The sequence below is a fragment of the Homo sapiens genome, chromosome 13, assembly GCF_000001405.40.
Source record: "Homo sapiens chromosome 13, GRCh38.p14 Primary Assembly".
Taxonomy (NCBI): domain Eukaryota; kingdom Metazoa; phylum Chordata; class Mammalia; order Primates; family Hominidae; genus Homo; species Homo sapiens.
The window spans coordinates 76991304-77005137 of NC_000013.11; the positions used below are offsets into that span (position 1 = coordinate 76991304).

Sequence of the window (13834 nt, forward strand, 5' to 3'; positions counted from 1 at the left end):
AGGCTCCTCAAAAGCCGGGTAATTGATGCCATTGTTTTCTTGACCTAGTTGAAGAGTCAAAGAAGAGAAGGTGATGCAGAAACTTCTTTCCAGTGAAGTGACAGATCCAAGCAAGGAACACCTGCCTGTGAGGGGAGCGGTAGGGGAGGGGGTAGATTCGGCAGCACTCGGGTAGTGGCAGGGACCACATATTGTCGGTGTTAACCACTGTTATCACTGGCCCAGGTCGAGTGAGGACGAGTCATTTCCCCACTAAGCACTTGGGGAGTGGCAGGGACCACATATTGTCAGTGTTAACCACTGTTATGACTGGCCCAGGTCGGGTGACGACGAGCCATTTCCGCACTATTGTCCCTTCTTCCTCACTGCACCCCCAGCCCTGCACCCTCAGCTCCAAATACACATTCTCGTTCACTCAACGTTTGTTGACACCTAGCGTGGGCCCTGTGGGATGGGGTAAAAGTTCGGTGTTGGGAGGAGCCCCGGTGACAGATTTTTGGTTTTGGTGGTGGCTTTTGGGCAAGGACAGGTCAATTCATAAAAGATGACGCCCCAGGTCTGGATCGAATTCTCCTGGGAGCCAGACCAAAGCACCTTCCTGGACTGCAAAGTGTGGAAGCCGCCGCGGGCCGGGCGCGGGGAGGTGTCATGCGCCGGAACCTGCGCTTGGGGCCAAGCTCTGGAGCTGACGCGCAGGGGCAAGGCGCCCCGCGTCCCGGACTGGCGGCTCCGCGCATGCTCCTCCCACCGGCGTCGCAGGCCTCGAGAGGCTCCGGAAGTACTGGGTGCAGCCTGATGGCGCAGGAGGTAGACACGGCACAGGGCGCCGAGATGCGGCGGGGCGCGGGCGCGGCTCGGGGACGCGCTTCCTGGTGCTGGGCCCTGGCGCTGCTTTGGCTCGCGGTGGTTCCGGGCTGGTCCCGGGTCTCGGGCATCCCCTCCCGGCGCCACTGGCCGGTGCCCTACAAGTGAGTGCGGCGGCGCGCGCACTGTCGGGGTTGGGGTCGGCGTTGACGATGGGGGATGGGGTGCTGGGGCGGGGACCCCTGCTCACCGTGGTTTGTGTCGGGTCACGAGATGGTGCGGGGACAGCGCCGGGTGACGCTCGGAGCGCACTTGAGAGCAAAGTTGAGGACTGGGGAGTCGCAGCCGCTCGTTACGTGCAGCCCTGGGACCTTTCGTCCCCTCTGGTCACTTGCGGCAGACTCAGGACAGTCCTGAATCGTGGAAGAAGAAAAGGAGAGTAATGTTATTTAATGGAGGGACTTCTGGGTACAAGTAGCTGATTTCTTGAGTAGTTTAAAAACACTGTCTATCGCATTTATTTATATCATGCACTGTCGTTAGTTATTACCGCGGAACATTTGGTACAATTTACTGGGCGACCAACTCGCTCTGGTTTGAACCTGATCAGAACCTGATCCGAAGTCCTTATTGGGACTTCCCAGTTTTGCCCTCAAAAGTCGCGCATCCCGGGAATCCCCGTCTCCTGCAGTCCTGGTTAGACCGGGAAGATTGTCACCGCTTTTGTCCAGTCTTCAGCCTGGAGGTAGGACGCCGGTCCTAAGTCGGGGACAGAGCCCGCACACCTGGGAGGTCGATTCCAGCCTTTGACAGAGAAGACACAGCCTCCGGCGGTCAGAGATAGCTAAACACAGAGAAAGAAAACATGGTGTCAACATCAGGCAGGAGAAAGACCAGCAGTTTTTGAAAACAGCTATTTTTCTTTAAACCAAAAGCATCATTGGACATAATTTTAACTTACTAGCATAAGTAATCAACAGCTAAAACTGCACACAACAAACCTGAAAAAAACAGCTATTTTGTATGACAGTATGAGTGGGAAGGAGTTCTGCCTGCTGCGGGTCAAATCTGGCTCTGTCATCACCAGGGATCTTGGGAAAGTTACTCAGAATCTCTGTGCCCACATGCCCTGAGTCAAAAAATAGGAATAGTGGTAGCACGTACCTCATAGGTTTGCTGGAAGGATTAAATCTAGTAAAATGCCAGCTGTTGTCAAACCTAGATAGTGTATTCTGCTCACTGAAATGTTTACAACACTTTTTTGTTTTGTGTGATATACTACGTGGAAAGAGAAGTTTGTGGTTGAAGCTAGTTTTCTGGAAAATGTTAATAATAAAATGTTTGTAAGAAGTCAAAATTACTCAATAGAACAAGAATTGTAAATCCAAACGATTTGATTTAACATTAGGGCAAGGTGTTGACTATGGCTTTTTAGTGGATTTTTTTTTTAAGTCTCAGATATTAAGTACGTGCTCCCATCTAATTCCCTCAATTGAATATAATATTTAAGTTTATTAAGTTCACACTTAAATTACCTTTGAACTAAAATAGATTTTGCTGTGTCAGTGAAATCTCCATGTGATTATGTATTTGTTTAAACCAGGTAAGTGCCTATAAAACACTGTACCCAAGTAGCAGAAACTTTTGGGAGCGTCGTTAATAGTTTCGATTAGCATAAAGATTTTAACTTCTTAAGTTAAAATAGAAATTTTTGTTGATTTGTTAAGATTTGTTAGATCTGGCTACAACCTTGGGGATCTAGGATTCTTAGATAGAAGCTGTTGTCGCCACCACTTCTTTCTTTCCCAGTGCCAGATTATAGGTGACCAGTGTGTCTGTTGAGCTGAATTCAGCTGCAGTGCCCCTCGAGTCCTATTGCTGTGGCCTTCTCCGGTCTTCTTTTCTTGCCTGCATTGTTGAGGTCACCTTCTAACTGATCTCTCATGTTTTATTTGGCCTCTCTCCATACCCTCTTTTAATTCGTGAAATAAGGTTTACTTTATAGCAAATTCAGTCCTGTCAGATCTGCTACTTAACATCCTTTAAGTTTAGCCCTCCCCAATTATAAGGCAGGGAATTCCATGCACATTCTCCTAGTGACAAAATGACAGCCCCTGCCAGTCTCTTCCGTCTCCATTCCTGCGTCGAGGCCTGAAATCCAGTCTTCCGTACCTACCGGAGACCAAATGTGCCAGGCTTGTCTTACAATACTTAACATTTCCTCTGCCTTTCTGTCTTAACCTTCTAATCAACTACATTAAAAACCTAGGCCCGGCCTTCATCTCTTTCTTTGCCCTCCCCACCCCATTCATCCCATACCTGGTTAACAATGATTTGTCCTTCCTGTGTGCCCATAGGACTCATTCCTTTAGTCTAGCACATACCACACTCATTACTTGTTCAGTGTCTTTCCAGCTCCCACCCACAGTTCCATGAGAAAGGGAACAGTGTTTTAATTTTTGTTTCCCTCCTTCTTACTATAGTTCACTATATATGTAGTGGAGCCTCAATAAATATTGGTTGAATGAATGTTAATTCGTAAGTAAATATAAAATGTATTCTGTTACTCATAATTATCTGAATAATCTTAATGTATGGACTGTTTGTAAAATTGAACACATTGGAAAAATGTTCATTTATTCTGTAAACATTTGCAAATGTCTACTATGATCTGGAGCTATAAAAATTTTAAGACAAAATTCCTGTCTTCAAAATTTTCACAGTGGGATCAGGGAACAGGGAAGCCCGTATTTATCAGAGTGCTTTTAGTTTATCATTTGCTATTAAAAACATTATTGGAAGTTTGTTCACAAGATAACAAAATGTGTGTTTATATTTATTAACTATGGTCCGACCTTTGAATGGTCCCCTAAAAATGTTACTGGATTCTAAAAGACGTGAGAAGAATCAGATTCATTTTAGAATCTAAGTAGATGGTTTCTTTTTCTTTATTAGGCGCTTTGACTTCCGTCCAAAACCTGATCCTTATTGTCAAGCTAAGTATACTTTCTGTCCAACTGGCTCACCTATCCCAGTTATGGAGGGTGATGATGACATTGAAGTTTTTCGATTACAAGCCCCAGTATGGGAATTTAAATATGGAGACCTCCTGGGACACTTGGTAAGGATGCATCTTGGTCTTATAACTTTGGTTAATTCAATGATTTGGTTATTAAGTTGATTTTTAAGGAGTAATCACTATTTAGATGGCTGACTTTAGATCATGTTGGTGTTTGTCTTAGTACATTTAAAATGAGTAGTCAAAAATAGTTACTATCAGATTTTGTAATCTTGACAACAACAAATGTAATCACCATTATCCATTGTAATATTATGAATCTGAAACCAGCTCCTGTACCTAGCTCCTGGAAGGTGAGAAGAGGCCCAGAAGTGGCAGGGCAGGCAGGTAACACCTCTTGATTTCCATACTCTGTTGTAGTCACTTTTCCAGGTTAACCCATCACCATGTGAGGTCTGTAGAGCTGCTTCCAGAGACTGGCATGGGGGCTCCTCACACTTATTCTAAGCTCTAAGGAAATTATCAGCTTGTCCACATAACATGCAGGCCTCCTATTTGAGATGAGCCAAATAGGGGTGTAGTGGCCAAAGCTGGGGTGGATGAGGGCCTGGAGTTTGGGGCCACAGAGTGGATATGACAGTAGCAGCATGGAAGAACAGCTGAACAGTTGTTCTACTTGATATGCATTTGTGATGTGCCACATTTTCTCCTATCAGGTTACCTGGACCCATGGTTGTGTCACAGTTGCTTTTATACATGTACTGTCTTTACACAGAAAATTATGCATGATGCCATTGGATTCAGAAGTACATTAACTGGCAAGAACTACACAATGGAATGGTATGAACTTTTCCAACTTGGCAACTGTACATTTCCCCATCTCCGACCTGAAATGGATGCCCCTTTCTGGTGTAATCAAGGCGCTGCCTGCTTTTTTGAGGGAATTGATGATGTTCACTGGAAGGAAAATGGGACATTAGTTCAAGTAGCAACTATATCAGGTAAGTTGTGAAAATATAGCAATATTTGATCATTGCATCAAAAACCAAATGAAAGAAATTGTTATACTTCCATTGAAACATTTCAGTAATGTTTTACTTAGAGGTCATTTGTAAAATGTACTTTTGGAACCATTAAACTTTGGGAATTTTTTTCATCTCTTATTTGTATTTTTTATTTATTTTATTTGAATAGGTTTGTGGGGAACTGGTTATGTTAAGTTACATGAATAAGTTCTTTAGTGGTGATTTCTGAGATTTTTGCGCACCCATCACCCGAGCAGTGTACACTGTACCCAATGTATAGTCTTTTATCCCTCACCCCTCTCCGACCCTTTTCCCCGACTTCCCAAAGTTAATCATTCTTATGCCTTTGCATCCTCATAGCTTAGCTCCCACTTACAAGTGAGAATACACAATGTTTGGTTTTCTATTCCTGAAGAGTTACTTCACTTGGATGGAATTGGAGACCATTATTCCAGGTTGCTGCAAATGCCATTATTTCATTCCTTTTTATGGCTGAGTAGTATTATTCCTTGGTATATATACACCACATTTTCTTTATCCACTCATTGATTGATGGGCATTTGAGCTGGTTCCATATTTTTGCAGTTGCAAATTGTGCTGCTATAAACATGCATGGGAAAGTATTTTTTGCGTATAATGAGTTCTCTTCCTTTGGGTAGATACCCAGTACTGGGATTGCTGGATCAAATGGCAGTTCTACTTTTAGTTCTTTAAGGAATCTCCACACTGTTTTCCATAGTGGTTGTACTAATTTACATTCCTAGCAGCAGAGAAGAAGTGTTCCCTTTCCCCCACATCCCGCCAATATCTATTTTTTTTTATTTTTTGATTATGGCCATTCTTGCAGGAGTGAGGCGGTATTACATTGTGGTTTTGATTTGCATTTCCCTGATCATTGCATTTCCCTGAGCATTTTCATGTTTCTTGGCCATTTGTATATCTTCTGAGAATTGTCTATTTGTGTCCTTAGCCACCCCCACCCCGCCTTTTTGTTGTTGTTGTTTGTTTGTTTGAGGTGGAGTTTTATTCTTGTCGCTCAGGCTGGAGTGCAATGACACAATCTCAGCTTGCTGCAACCTCCACCTCTTGGGTTCAAGCGATTCTCCAGCCTTAGCGTCCCAAGTAGCTGGGATTACAGGCGCCCGCCACCATGCCAAGCTAATTTTTGTATTTTTAGTAGAGATGGGGTTTCGCCATGTTGGCCAGCTGGTCTCAAACTCCTGACCTCAGGTCATCTGCCCACCTTGGCCTCCCAAAGTGCTGGGATTAAAGGTGTGAGCCACCACTCCCGGCCGTTAACCCACTTTTTGATGGGATTGTTTTTTTCTTGCTGATTTGAGTTCCTTGTAGATTCTGGATATTAGTCCTTTGTCAGATGTATAGATTGCAAAGATTTTCTCCCACTCTGTGGGTTGTCTATTTACTCTGCTGATTGTTCCTTTGGCTGTGCAGAAGCTTTTTAGTTTAATTAAGTCTCATCTATTTATATTTGTTTTTGTTGCATTTGCTTTTGGTGGAACCACTAAACTCTGACCCAAACTATTACTCATGCAGAACTTCACCTGTTGGTGATGAGTAGCTTATCTCTGATCTTTGAATGTTTCCCTAAAAATGCTCTTTTCCCATCATAAAAATGAATAAAATGATAAAACATTTTGTACAATTAAATTGGTCTTTCTAAACGAAATAGTAAGAGAAATCCATAAAATGCCTGATTAAAGGATATGTTAACTATATCTGAAAAAAATTTTAGTGATGATATTTTTATGTTGAAAAATAATAGCTACTAATATAGACTGGTTCTGGCACTGTTCTGAGTACTGTACATACATCACATCATTCATCATCACAACTTCTGGAGGTAGTAACTATTATTTTGCCTATTTTACAGATGGAGAAACTGAGGCACAGAGAGGTTAAAGTTACACAGCTTAGTAAGTGGGACTCCAACCCTGGCAGTTACGCCCCATTGCCCATTCTCCTAACTACTTTGATACATTGCCTCCCAAAATGTATATGATCTTATATTTGAGACCCTCTTGAGCAGTTTAAATATTTTATCTTTGAGATTTTTTTCTTCTTTTGGATGTATTGGAAAGTTGCTGAAAGTTGGAATTGTGTTGCAAGTGCTGCATTGTTGGTTAGTAATGAAAAGAGTTCAGCAATCCTTTCATTGGTAACTCCTTATGTGACTTGGGTCACATTTTATATCTTATTGGCCCGTTGCCTCATGTGCAAAATGGAGACAATATACCATAGCATTTGAGAAGTAAGGAGCTTGTCCATATGATTTATGAAGCATTACATTATAAATTGCTGTTCCCCAGAACAGTAGAAACATCTGAAATGAAAGCACTGTTGTGACAATAATTATTCAGTGAACCCCAGGACTTGAGGAAGTAATCATGCTTCCTATTTGTATAGCTCTTTACAAATGATTTGGAGGTATGTTAACTCACGGTTCAGTGGAGAGGATAAGATACTCATTCTCTGCAAATAAGGAATTGAGGCTCAGCCAGGTAACATGACTTACTTGCCTCTCAAGGTCAAAGAGCTGGATGTAGCAGAATCAGGAATAAAACTGAGGTCTTTTAAATGTAACAAGGATCTGTTAGCCGAATGCACCATGTTGTTTTCTAATATTTCCTGCTACTTTCTAATCAATGTGCCTTAAACCATACCAACAATACAAAAGTCCATCATTAGCGGTTCTTTCTTTCATTCCAGGCCAGTTCACACCTTTCCCCATTTCCACCTACATCGTTATCTGAAAATCCTTCCTTCTGACATAAAGTCAATGATCATATGAATAAGTGATCACTATTTTTTGTAAAATAGTTCAAAATATGCCAGTACTTAAATCTTTTAAGTCATTTATTTGCCTTGTGAATAATCCTGTGATTGACAAAATAGTGTTTTGAAGCATTCTTGTCTCATAAGGATAGTGGTGGCATTTGAAAGTTGAAGAATGCTAAGAACAGTATCCCCAGTTCTAATACAACAGGCTTTATTCTGTTCTACAATTTTAATTCCATAAAATTGATAAAGGCAGTCACTCTATTCATTTTACAGAACATGAAGTATTTATTTTATGGACTCAAGTTGGAGTAACCAAAGAGGTTTGCACACAGTGACAGGATGCAGTGTTTGGGGCCCAGTTCTATTAGGCATTATAAATGCCCAAGATGAGAGTTGTAACCATGCAGAGTAGTGTTTTCTGAATATTTGGAAAGATTCTTCTGGTCTAGTACAAGATGGTAGAAGAGAGGGTTAGCCATCCTGGAGTATGAACTCGGCCTAAAACATTTCCAGTTTAGTTGATTTGTTGGAAGGACTTAACGTGGCAGGTGGAGAGGTCATCAGCAGCATCCCAGCAACTCCAAGTACAGGGAAGAAAGAAACGTACCAAACACACAAGGTGGATGGGGTATGGTGCTTGTTCTCATAACAGTAATAGCCAGCCTTCTAGAGCAGTGGCTCCTCAGGCAGCCATTCATACTTTATGTGTAGCATGCTTTGCAACAGTGAAGCTCCACATTTCCCACACCTCCATTTTCCTTACACTGTCTTTGCCCATTCTGCTTTTCCTCTTTCGCAATTCTTTTTGTGCTTTCCTTTTCTCTTTTGCCTCTGAATCCAAGATTTGGTGAGTTGGGTAGAGAAAGAGAGCTTCTGCATTTGTATAATTTCGCTTTGACTATAGCTTAAATGATTATAGAATTAGTATGTAAGATGACTTCTCCTTATACACCTATTATATCTAATGTTTATAATTCAGAAATATCTTGTGCCTTGAAGAATGGAATAAAATTGGCTGAGCTTGGATTCCTGTTGTGAAATGCAGGTGTGGAAATTCAAAACCATTGTTTACTCAGGCATCCAGTCTTAATCAAGTTAGAACATTTTACTTAAAATTAATATGATTAGGCCAGCCATGGTAGCTCAAACCTATAATCCCAGTGCTTTAGAATGCTGAAGCAGGAGGATCACTTGAGGTTGGGAATTTGAGACCAGCCTGGGCAATACAGCAAGACCCCGTGTTGCCCAGGCTGGTCTCAAATTAAAAAAAAGAAAAATTAAAAAATTAGTTGGGTTTGGTGGCCAGCGCCTGTAGTCCCAGCTACTCAGGAGGCCGAGGTGGGAGGATCACTTAAGCCCAGGAGGTCAAGGCTGCAGTGAGCTGTGATGTTACCACCGCACTCTAGCCTCGGCAACAGAGGGAGACCTGTCTTAAAAAAAAAAAAAAAAAAAATTAACATGATTAGCTTTGTTCACTAGGTGACTTTGTTTTGTTTTTTTAAACTAGGAAACATGTTCAACCAAATGGCAAAGTGGGTGAAACAGGACAATGAAACAGGAATTTATTATGAGACATGGAATGTAAAAGCCAGCCCAGAAAAGGGGGCAGAGACATGGTTTGATTCCTACGACTGTTCCAAATTTGTGTTAAGGACCTTTAACAAGTTGGCTGAATTTGGAGCAGAGTTCAAGAACATAGAAACCAACTATACAAGAATATTTCTTTACAGTGGAGAACCTACTTATCTGGGAAATGAAACATCTGTTTTTGGGCCAACAGGAAACAAGACTCTTGGTTTAGCCATAAAAAGATTTTATTACCCCTTCAAACCACATTTGCCAACTAAAGAATTTCTGTTGAGTCTCTTGCAAATTTTTGATGCAGTGATTGTGCACAAACAGTTCTATTTGTTTTATAATTTTGAATATTGGTTTTTACCTATGAAATTCCCTTTTATTAAAATAACATATGAAGAAATCCCTTTACCTATCAGAAACAAAACACTCTCTGGTTTATAAAACACCTTAATTCTACTGCTCTTTTTTCTCCAATCACCAGCATCTGTTTTTCAGGGGGTGATTTTACTTTTGTGAATTCCTTAGCCTTTCTTCCTTGGTGCATAAAGTTAAAATGCACATCAGCAGAATTGCTGCATATTAACATCTCAGGACTCTTCTCTTGTAAAGAAGCTGAAATTCGTACTATATTGGCCAAAGTGAGCGAGTTAGGTGATCTTGGTTTCAATTTCCGAGCCTTTGTTAATATGGAGAATTATGGTTCATATCAGTTATGTAGGACCTTTGGACCCAGGGTCCTACAGATAGATATGGTGTGCCCAGATTTTAAAAATACCTTCAAAAATAAAAAATACATTCAGTGACATTTTCATGGTGGGAGCTCTTCTTTCTGATATGGCAGTTACACTTTTTCACTTAAGTGCTTTAGTTTAGACTAACTTTACAACTTCTATAACTTTTGGAACCAAGTTTAGTATAGTCTGATTACATTCCATTCACCTAACTTTAGACATTCGTTTAGACACCATAACTGGAGTGATTGTGCTTCTAGATGTGGCAAATCCAGTGTTAACACATATTTCTGGCTGAGATTTTGGAACTAGCTAGTAACTGGCTTGTGTTCTTTAAGCATACTAACATCACTAAATCTTAGGATTTAGGATTGCTGTAAAGATGTAAGTTGTGTATGTTTGGCAGGTCACATTGAATGGCAGTGATAATGATTAATCAAAGAACAAATGTCATCCTTGATCTTGCCTAATGTAGTTTATGTGCCAAACTTTCCAGGGTTTTGTAGTCACCTAGATTTTAAGCTGATAGCATAGTGCTTCAGCGGTTCTTCTAACCGGGGTATGCAGGAACATGGCTGCAGACACGTTTGGGTAAACAGGCACCTTCTGACTTCTTCATTGTTTCCTGTAGTTCTCCCTCTTCCCACAAAGCTGTCAGCGCAGTGGAAGAGGTTGCACTTCTCCGAGAGAGGACAGGTTTCTGTTAAGATCACCAAGTAGCTGTGCTTTAATTAGAGCCAGACAAGCTTTCAAGGTCCTTTAAGTATTTGATGATCAACTGAACACGTTTCTATTCAAGGAGAAAACACCATTCAGTAAGAAGATGGAGTAGATATCAGATAAAACAATTCACGTTTAATATGTAAATGTACCAATTATGTGATTCAGTTTCAACTTTCAAGTACTTCCTGAGAGGTTAGTACATTATTATTGAGCTCTCACAGAAAGCTTAATCATAGATATAATTAACCTGATCCAAATGAGTAAAGTGGACCTTAGAAAGGCTAAGTGATCTTTCTCTGGCTATCCAGCTAGTAGTAATGAAGTCAGGTCTTGAACCCCGGTTCTGCTGACTGAATTGGATGCACTATAGTACAGGCTTTTAGCACCGAAGTGTGGTCCTCAGACCAGTGCCTGCCAACCAGATGTTACTGGTCTGTGAGGAAATAAGTACAGATACTGACAGGAAGCTTTTATAAACAATTTATTGGAGTGTTTTTGTTTCTGTTGGGTCTAATTAAAAAAATTGGAGCTTGTATTTTATGTGTCTTTGGTCTTATTTTGTCTAGGAATTCATTTTTGCTGGGTTTTTTTTTTTCAACTGTAGTCCCACAACAGTCTGAAAATAACCCAGTCACCAGATATCTTCCTCAAATACAGAGGGAGAACTTTCTTTCACGCCTCCTTTAGCCTGTCGACTCCTTATAATAATGCCTAAATATTCCAAATTAATACTGCCTCTTTAACCTGCTAATTGTTTTCACAATGTTACAAGAAAACTTGGATCTGTGCATTATCACCATCTAGTGGCTAAACTCAGGCAACACGAACTTCTACCAAACTCAGGAAATTGCTCTGGAAAAACTACAGGATTTTGGATTTCCAGAACTGCCTTGAAGAGACAAAGATTCTTGTACCAAGTTTTGGTCAACTGCAAATCAAAGAACTTGGTTATGCAGGGAAAACAAATGAGGATATCTGTACCTGGAACTTTTAAACAAGATTCTAATAGTTATGTGAAAAAAGCATTCAAGATTTTTGAGTAGGCACAGTGGCTTACGCCTGTAATCCTATCACTTTGCGAAACTGAGGTGGTGGAAGGATCACTGAAGGTCGGGAGTTCAAGACCAGCCTGGCCAATGTGGTGAAACCCCGTTTCTCCTAAAATTAAAAAAAAAAAAAAAAAGCTAGGGGTGGTGGTCCATGCCTGTAATCCCAGCTACACGTGAGGCTAAGGCAGGAGAATCACTTGAACCCAGGAGGCAGAGGTTGCAGTGAGCTGAGATGGCGCCACTGCACTCCAGCCTGGGCGACAGAGCGAGACTCCGTCTCAAAAAAAAAGCATTCAAGATTTTTCATTGTTCCTAAGAATCTTAATTAAATGAAGACAGAAAGCATCATAAAGTCAGGTAACTACAGCACAGACAGCATTAACATTTACAAAAGTATTTCTTAAGAATTAAACCTGTCAGCTCTACTTACAAGATGTAGAGCTTTCAGGTGAAGATGATTCAAGAACATGCTTTCAAAATAGTAGTTGAGAAACCAAAACATAGCCACGCAGAAATCTGCCAATTAAGTTTTGCTGCCCTTTGAGCAATATGACTTAATGTGATTTACTTTAATTATAACTTAAGTACAACTTAAATGCAGTTTCTATTTTGCTATTGTTATAGATGTAGGCTGGGTGCGGTGGCTTATGCCTGTAATCCTAACACATACTTTGGGAGGCCAAGGTGGACGGATCACTTGAGGTCAGGAGTTCGAGACCAGCCTGGCCAACATGGTGAAACCCCGTCTCTACTGAAAATACAAAAATTAGCTGGTTGTGGTGGAGCATGCCTGTAGTCCCAGCTACTTGGGAGGCTGAGGCAGGAGAATCACTTGAATCCAGGAGGTGGAGGTTCCCACGAGCCAAGATCGCACCACTGCACTCCAGCCTGGCAACAGAGTGAGACTCCGTCTCAAAAAAATGTTGTAGATGTATAAAATTTATACATTTTTAGTCTGACTAGGGCTTTAGAGTGAATATATCTCCTCATTAATCTGGCACAAAATTAGTTAAGTAAGTATACCCACAAAGTGTCATCTAATATATTGTTGCATGTAGAGGAAAACACAGTGAAGAAACCTACTAACTTTATTTGGAACCCTCAATATTGGTGGCTCCTTAAAAATTGGAGAAAAAAATCAAGTCTTAGGAAGTCTTATCCAGTTTTATGGTCTGCTGTGGTGGCACTTAATGAATTACCTGGAATTATAGTTCCTGTAAGATGTTTTATTTTTTAAATAGTTGGCAGGCTATACAAAGAGTGATGTTCCAAAACTACACACATGCTTTTTCCCTGTTCACAAAGGCAAACAGGCTGGCCAAAGTGTTTCCAGCATCTTCGTCATATTTACCCTTTATTATCCAAGTGGTTTCCTGCTCTTCAAACCTTCCTTTCAAAATTTTGTCTCCTACTTAAAACAAGTTAGGATTATTTATCCTTTTATTGGACTGATTATTCTAAGGATAAGCTCTTACTTCACTTTCGGAGTAAAAGGCTTTGTGCCCTTTTTAAAGTTGGGTGTCAGCAAGCAGCTGGAATTTTCCTGCCTGGTAAAATTAAAACCAGCCCCACAAACTGGGGTTGGAGTCTGTGCAAAGCTCATTACTATCTATGTGTGGGGTAGAAATTATAGTGTGTTAAAGGACCTAGTGTAAAAAAAAAAAATTTTAAAGGACCTAGTGGAGGCTTGAACCTTCTTCACATGAACGTCTTCCTTTCAGCCTAAAGTTCTTAAAATGCACTAAATTGACTTAATCTTCAATCATACCTATTTTTTCTGATATGGTTACAACAGCCCAAATTACCAAGATAAGTTGAAAGCCAGTAAAACAATGAAAATAATTTCAATAGTTGAAAAACTATTCTAATTTATATAAAGACATTTATCTCTAAAAAGACTGGTTGGGTTCAAGGACCCTTAAAGACTGATTCTATGTCTAAATAATCTGTTTTATAAGTTCTCATTCTGAATGCAGAAAGAACCTATTATTTTCTGTATAAAAATTTAAAAATTTATATTTCATGGTAGGTTTTAAATTTCCTATTTCTTTAGGCATCAGAGCTTATTTCAAGAATAGATTCCATGAGCCTAACCTTGTATCTTCA

At 40.6% G+C, this 13834-nt stretch overlaps 1 protein-coding gene across 2 annotated transcripts, besides 4 other annotated features; it reads left to right on the top strand.

Annotated features, from left to right (window-relative positions):
* Positions 112-201: a silencer, noted in NCBI's record as "silent region_5412". NCBI's record gives its function as "represses an Ori minimal core promoter by ATAC-STARR-seq in GM12878 lymphoblastoid cells {active_cell/tissue: GM12878}" and the evidence as "EXISTENCE:reporter gene assay evidence [ECO:0000049][PMID:35858748]".
* Positions 292-361: a silencer, noted in NCBI's record as "silent region_5413". NCBI's record gives its function as "represses an Ori minimal core promoter by ATAC-STARR-seq in GM12878 lymphoblastoid cells {active_cell/tissue: GM12878}" and the evidence as "EXISTENCE:reporter gene assay evidence [ECO:0000049][PMID:35858748]".
* CLN5 (CLN5 lysosomal BMP synthase) lies at positions 778-13814 on the top strand. 2 transcript variants are annotated; one of them, NM_001366624.2, is made up of 5 exons: positions 778-968; positions 3760-3925; positions 4599-4824; positions 6740-6782; positions 9155-13814. In NM_001366624.2, exons 1-4 carry the CDS (start codon positions 796-798, stop codon positions 6766-6768), a joined length of 594 nt encoding a protein of 197 aa, NP_001353553.1. In that variant the 5' UTR covers positions 778-795; the 3' UTR covers positions 6769-6782; positions 9155-13814. The 2 variants fall into 2 exon arrangements, with proteins under 2 accessions (NP_001353553.1, NP_006484.2); NM_006493.4 differs by lacking the exon at positions 6740-6782.
* Positions 822-1061: a silencer, noted in NCBI's record as "silent region_5414". NCBI's record gives its function as "represses an Ori minimal core promoter by ATAC-STARR-seq in GM12878 lymphoblastoid cells {active_cell/tissue: GM12878}" and the evidence as "EXISTENCE:reporter gene assay evidence [ECO:0000049][PMID:35858748]".
* Positions 1083-2282: an enhancer, noted in NCBI's record as "BRD4-independent group 4 enhancer chr13:77566521-77567720 (GRCh37/hg19 assembly coordinates)". NCBI's record gives its function as "activates an origin of replication core promoter dependent on BRD2, P300/CBP, MED14 and CDK7 cofactors, and independent of BRD4, by STARR-seq in HCT116 cells {active_cell/tissue: HCT116}" and the evidence as "EXISTENCE:reporter gene assay evidence [ECO:0000049][PMID:35650434]".
* Positions 13815-13834: the final 20 nt, after the last annotated feature.

Coding starts and splice junctions, on each gene's coding strand:
- CLN5 (NM_006493.4), top strand. CDS start 796: ATGGCGCAGGAGGTAGACACGGCACAGGGCGCCGAGATGCGGCGGGGC. Junction 3,926..4,598: donor GAGACCTCCTGGGACACTTG/GTAAGGATGCAT, acceptor GTCTTTACACAG/AAAATTATGCATGATGCCAT. Junction 4,825..9,154: donor TCAAGTAGCAACTATATCAG/GTAAGTTGTGAA, acceptor TTTTTAAACTAG/GAAACATGTTCAACCAAATG.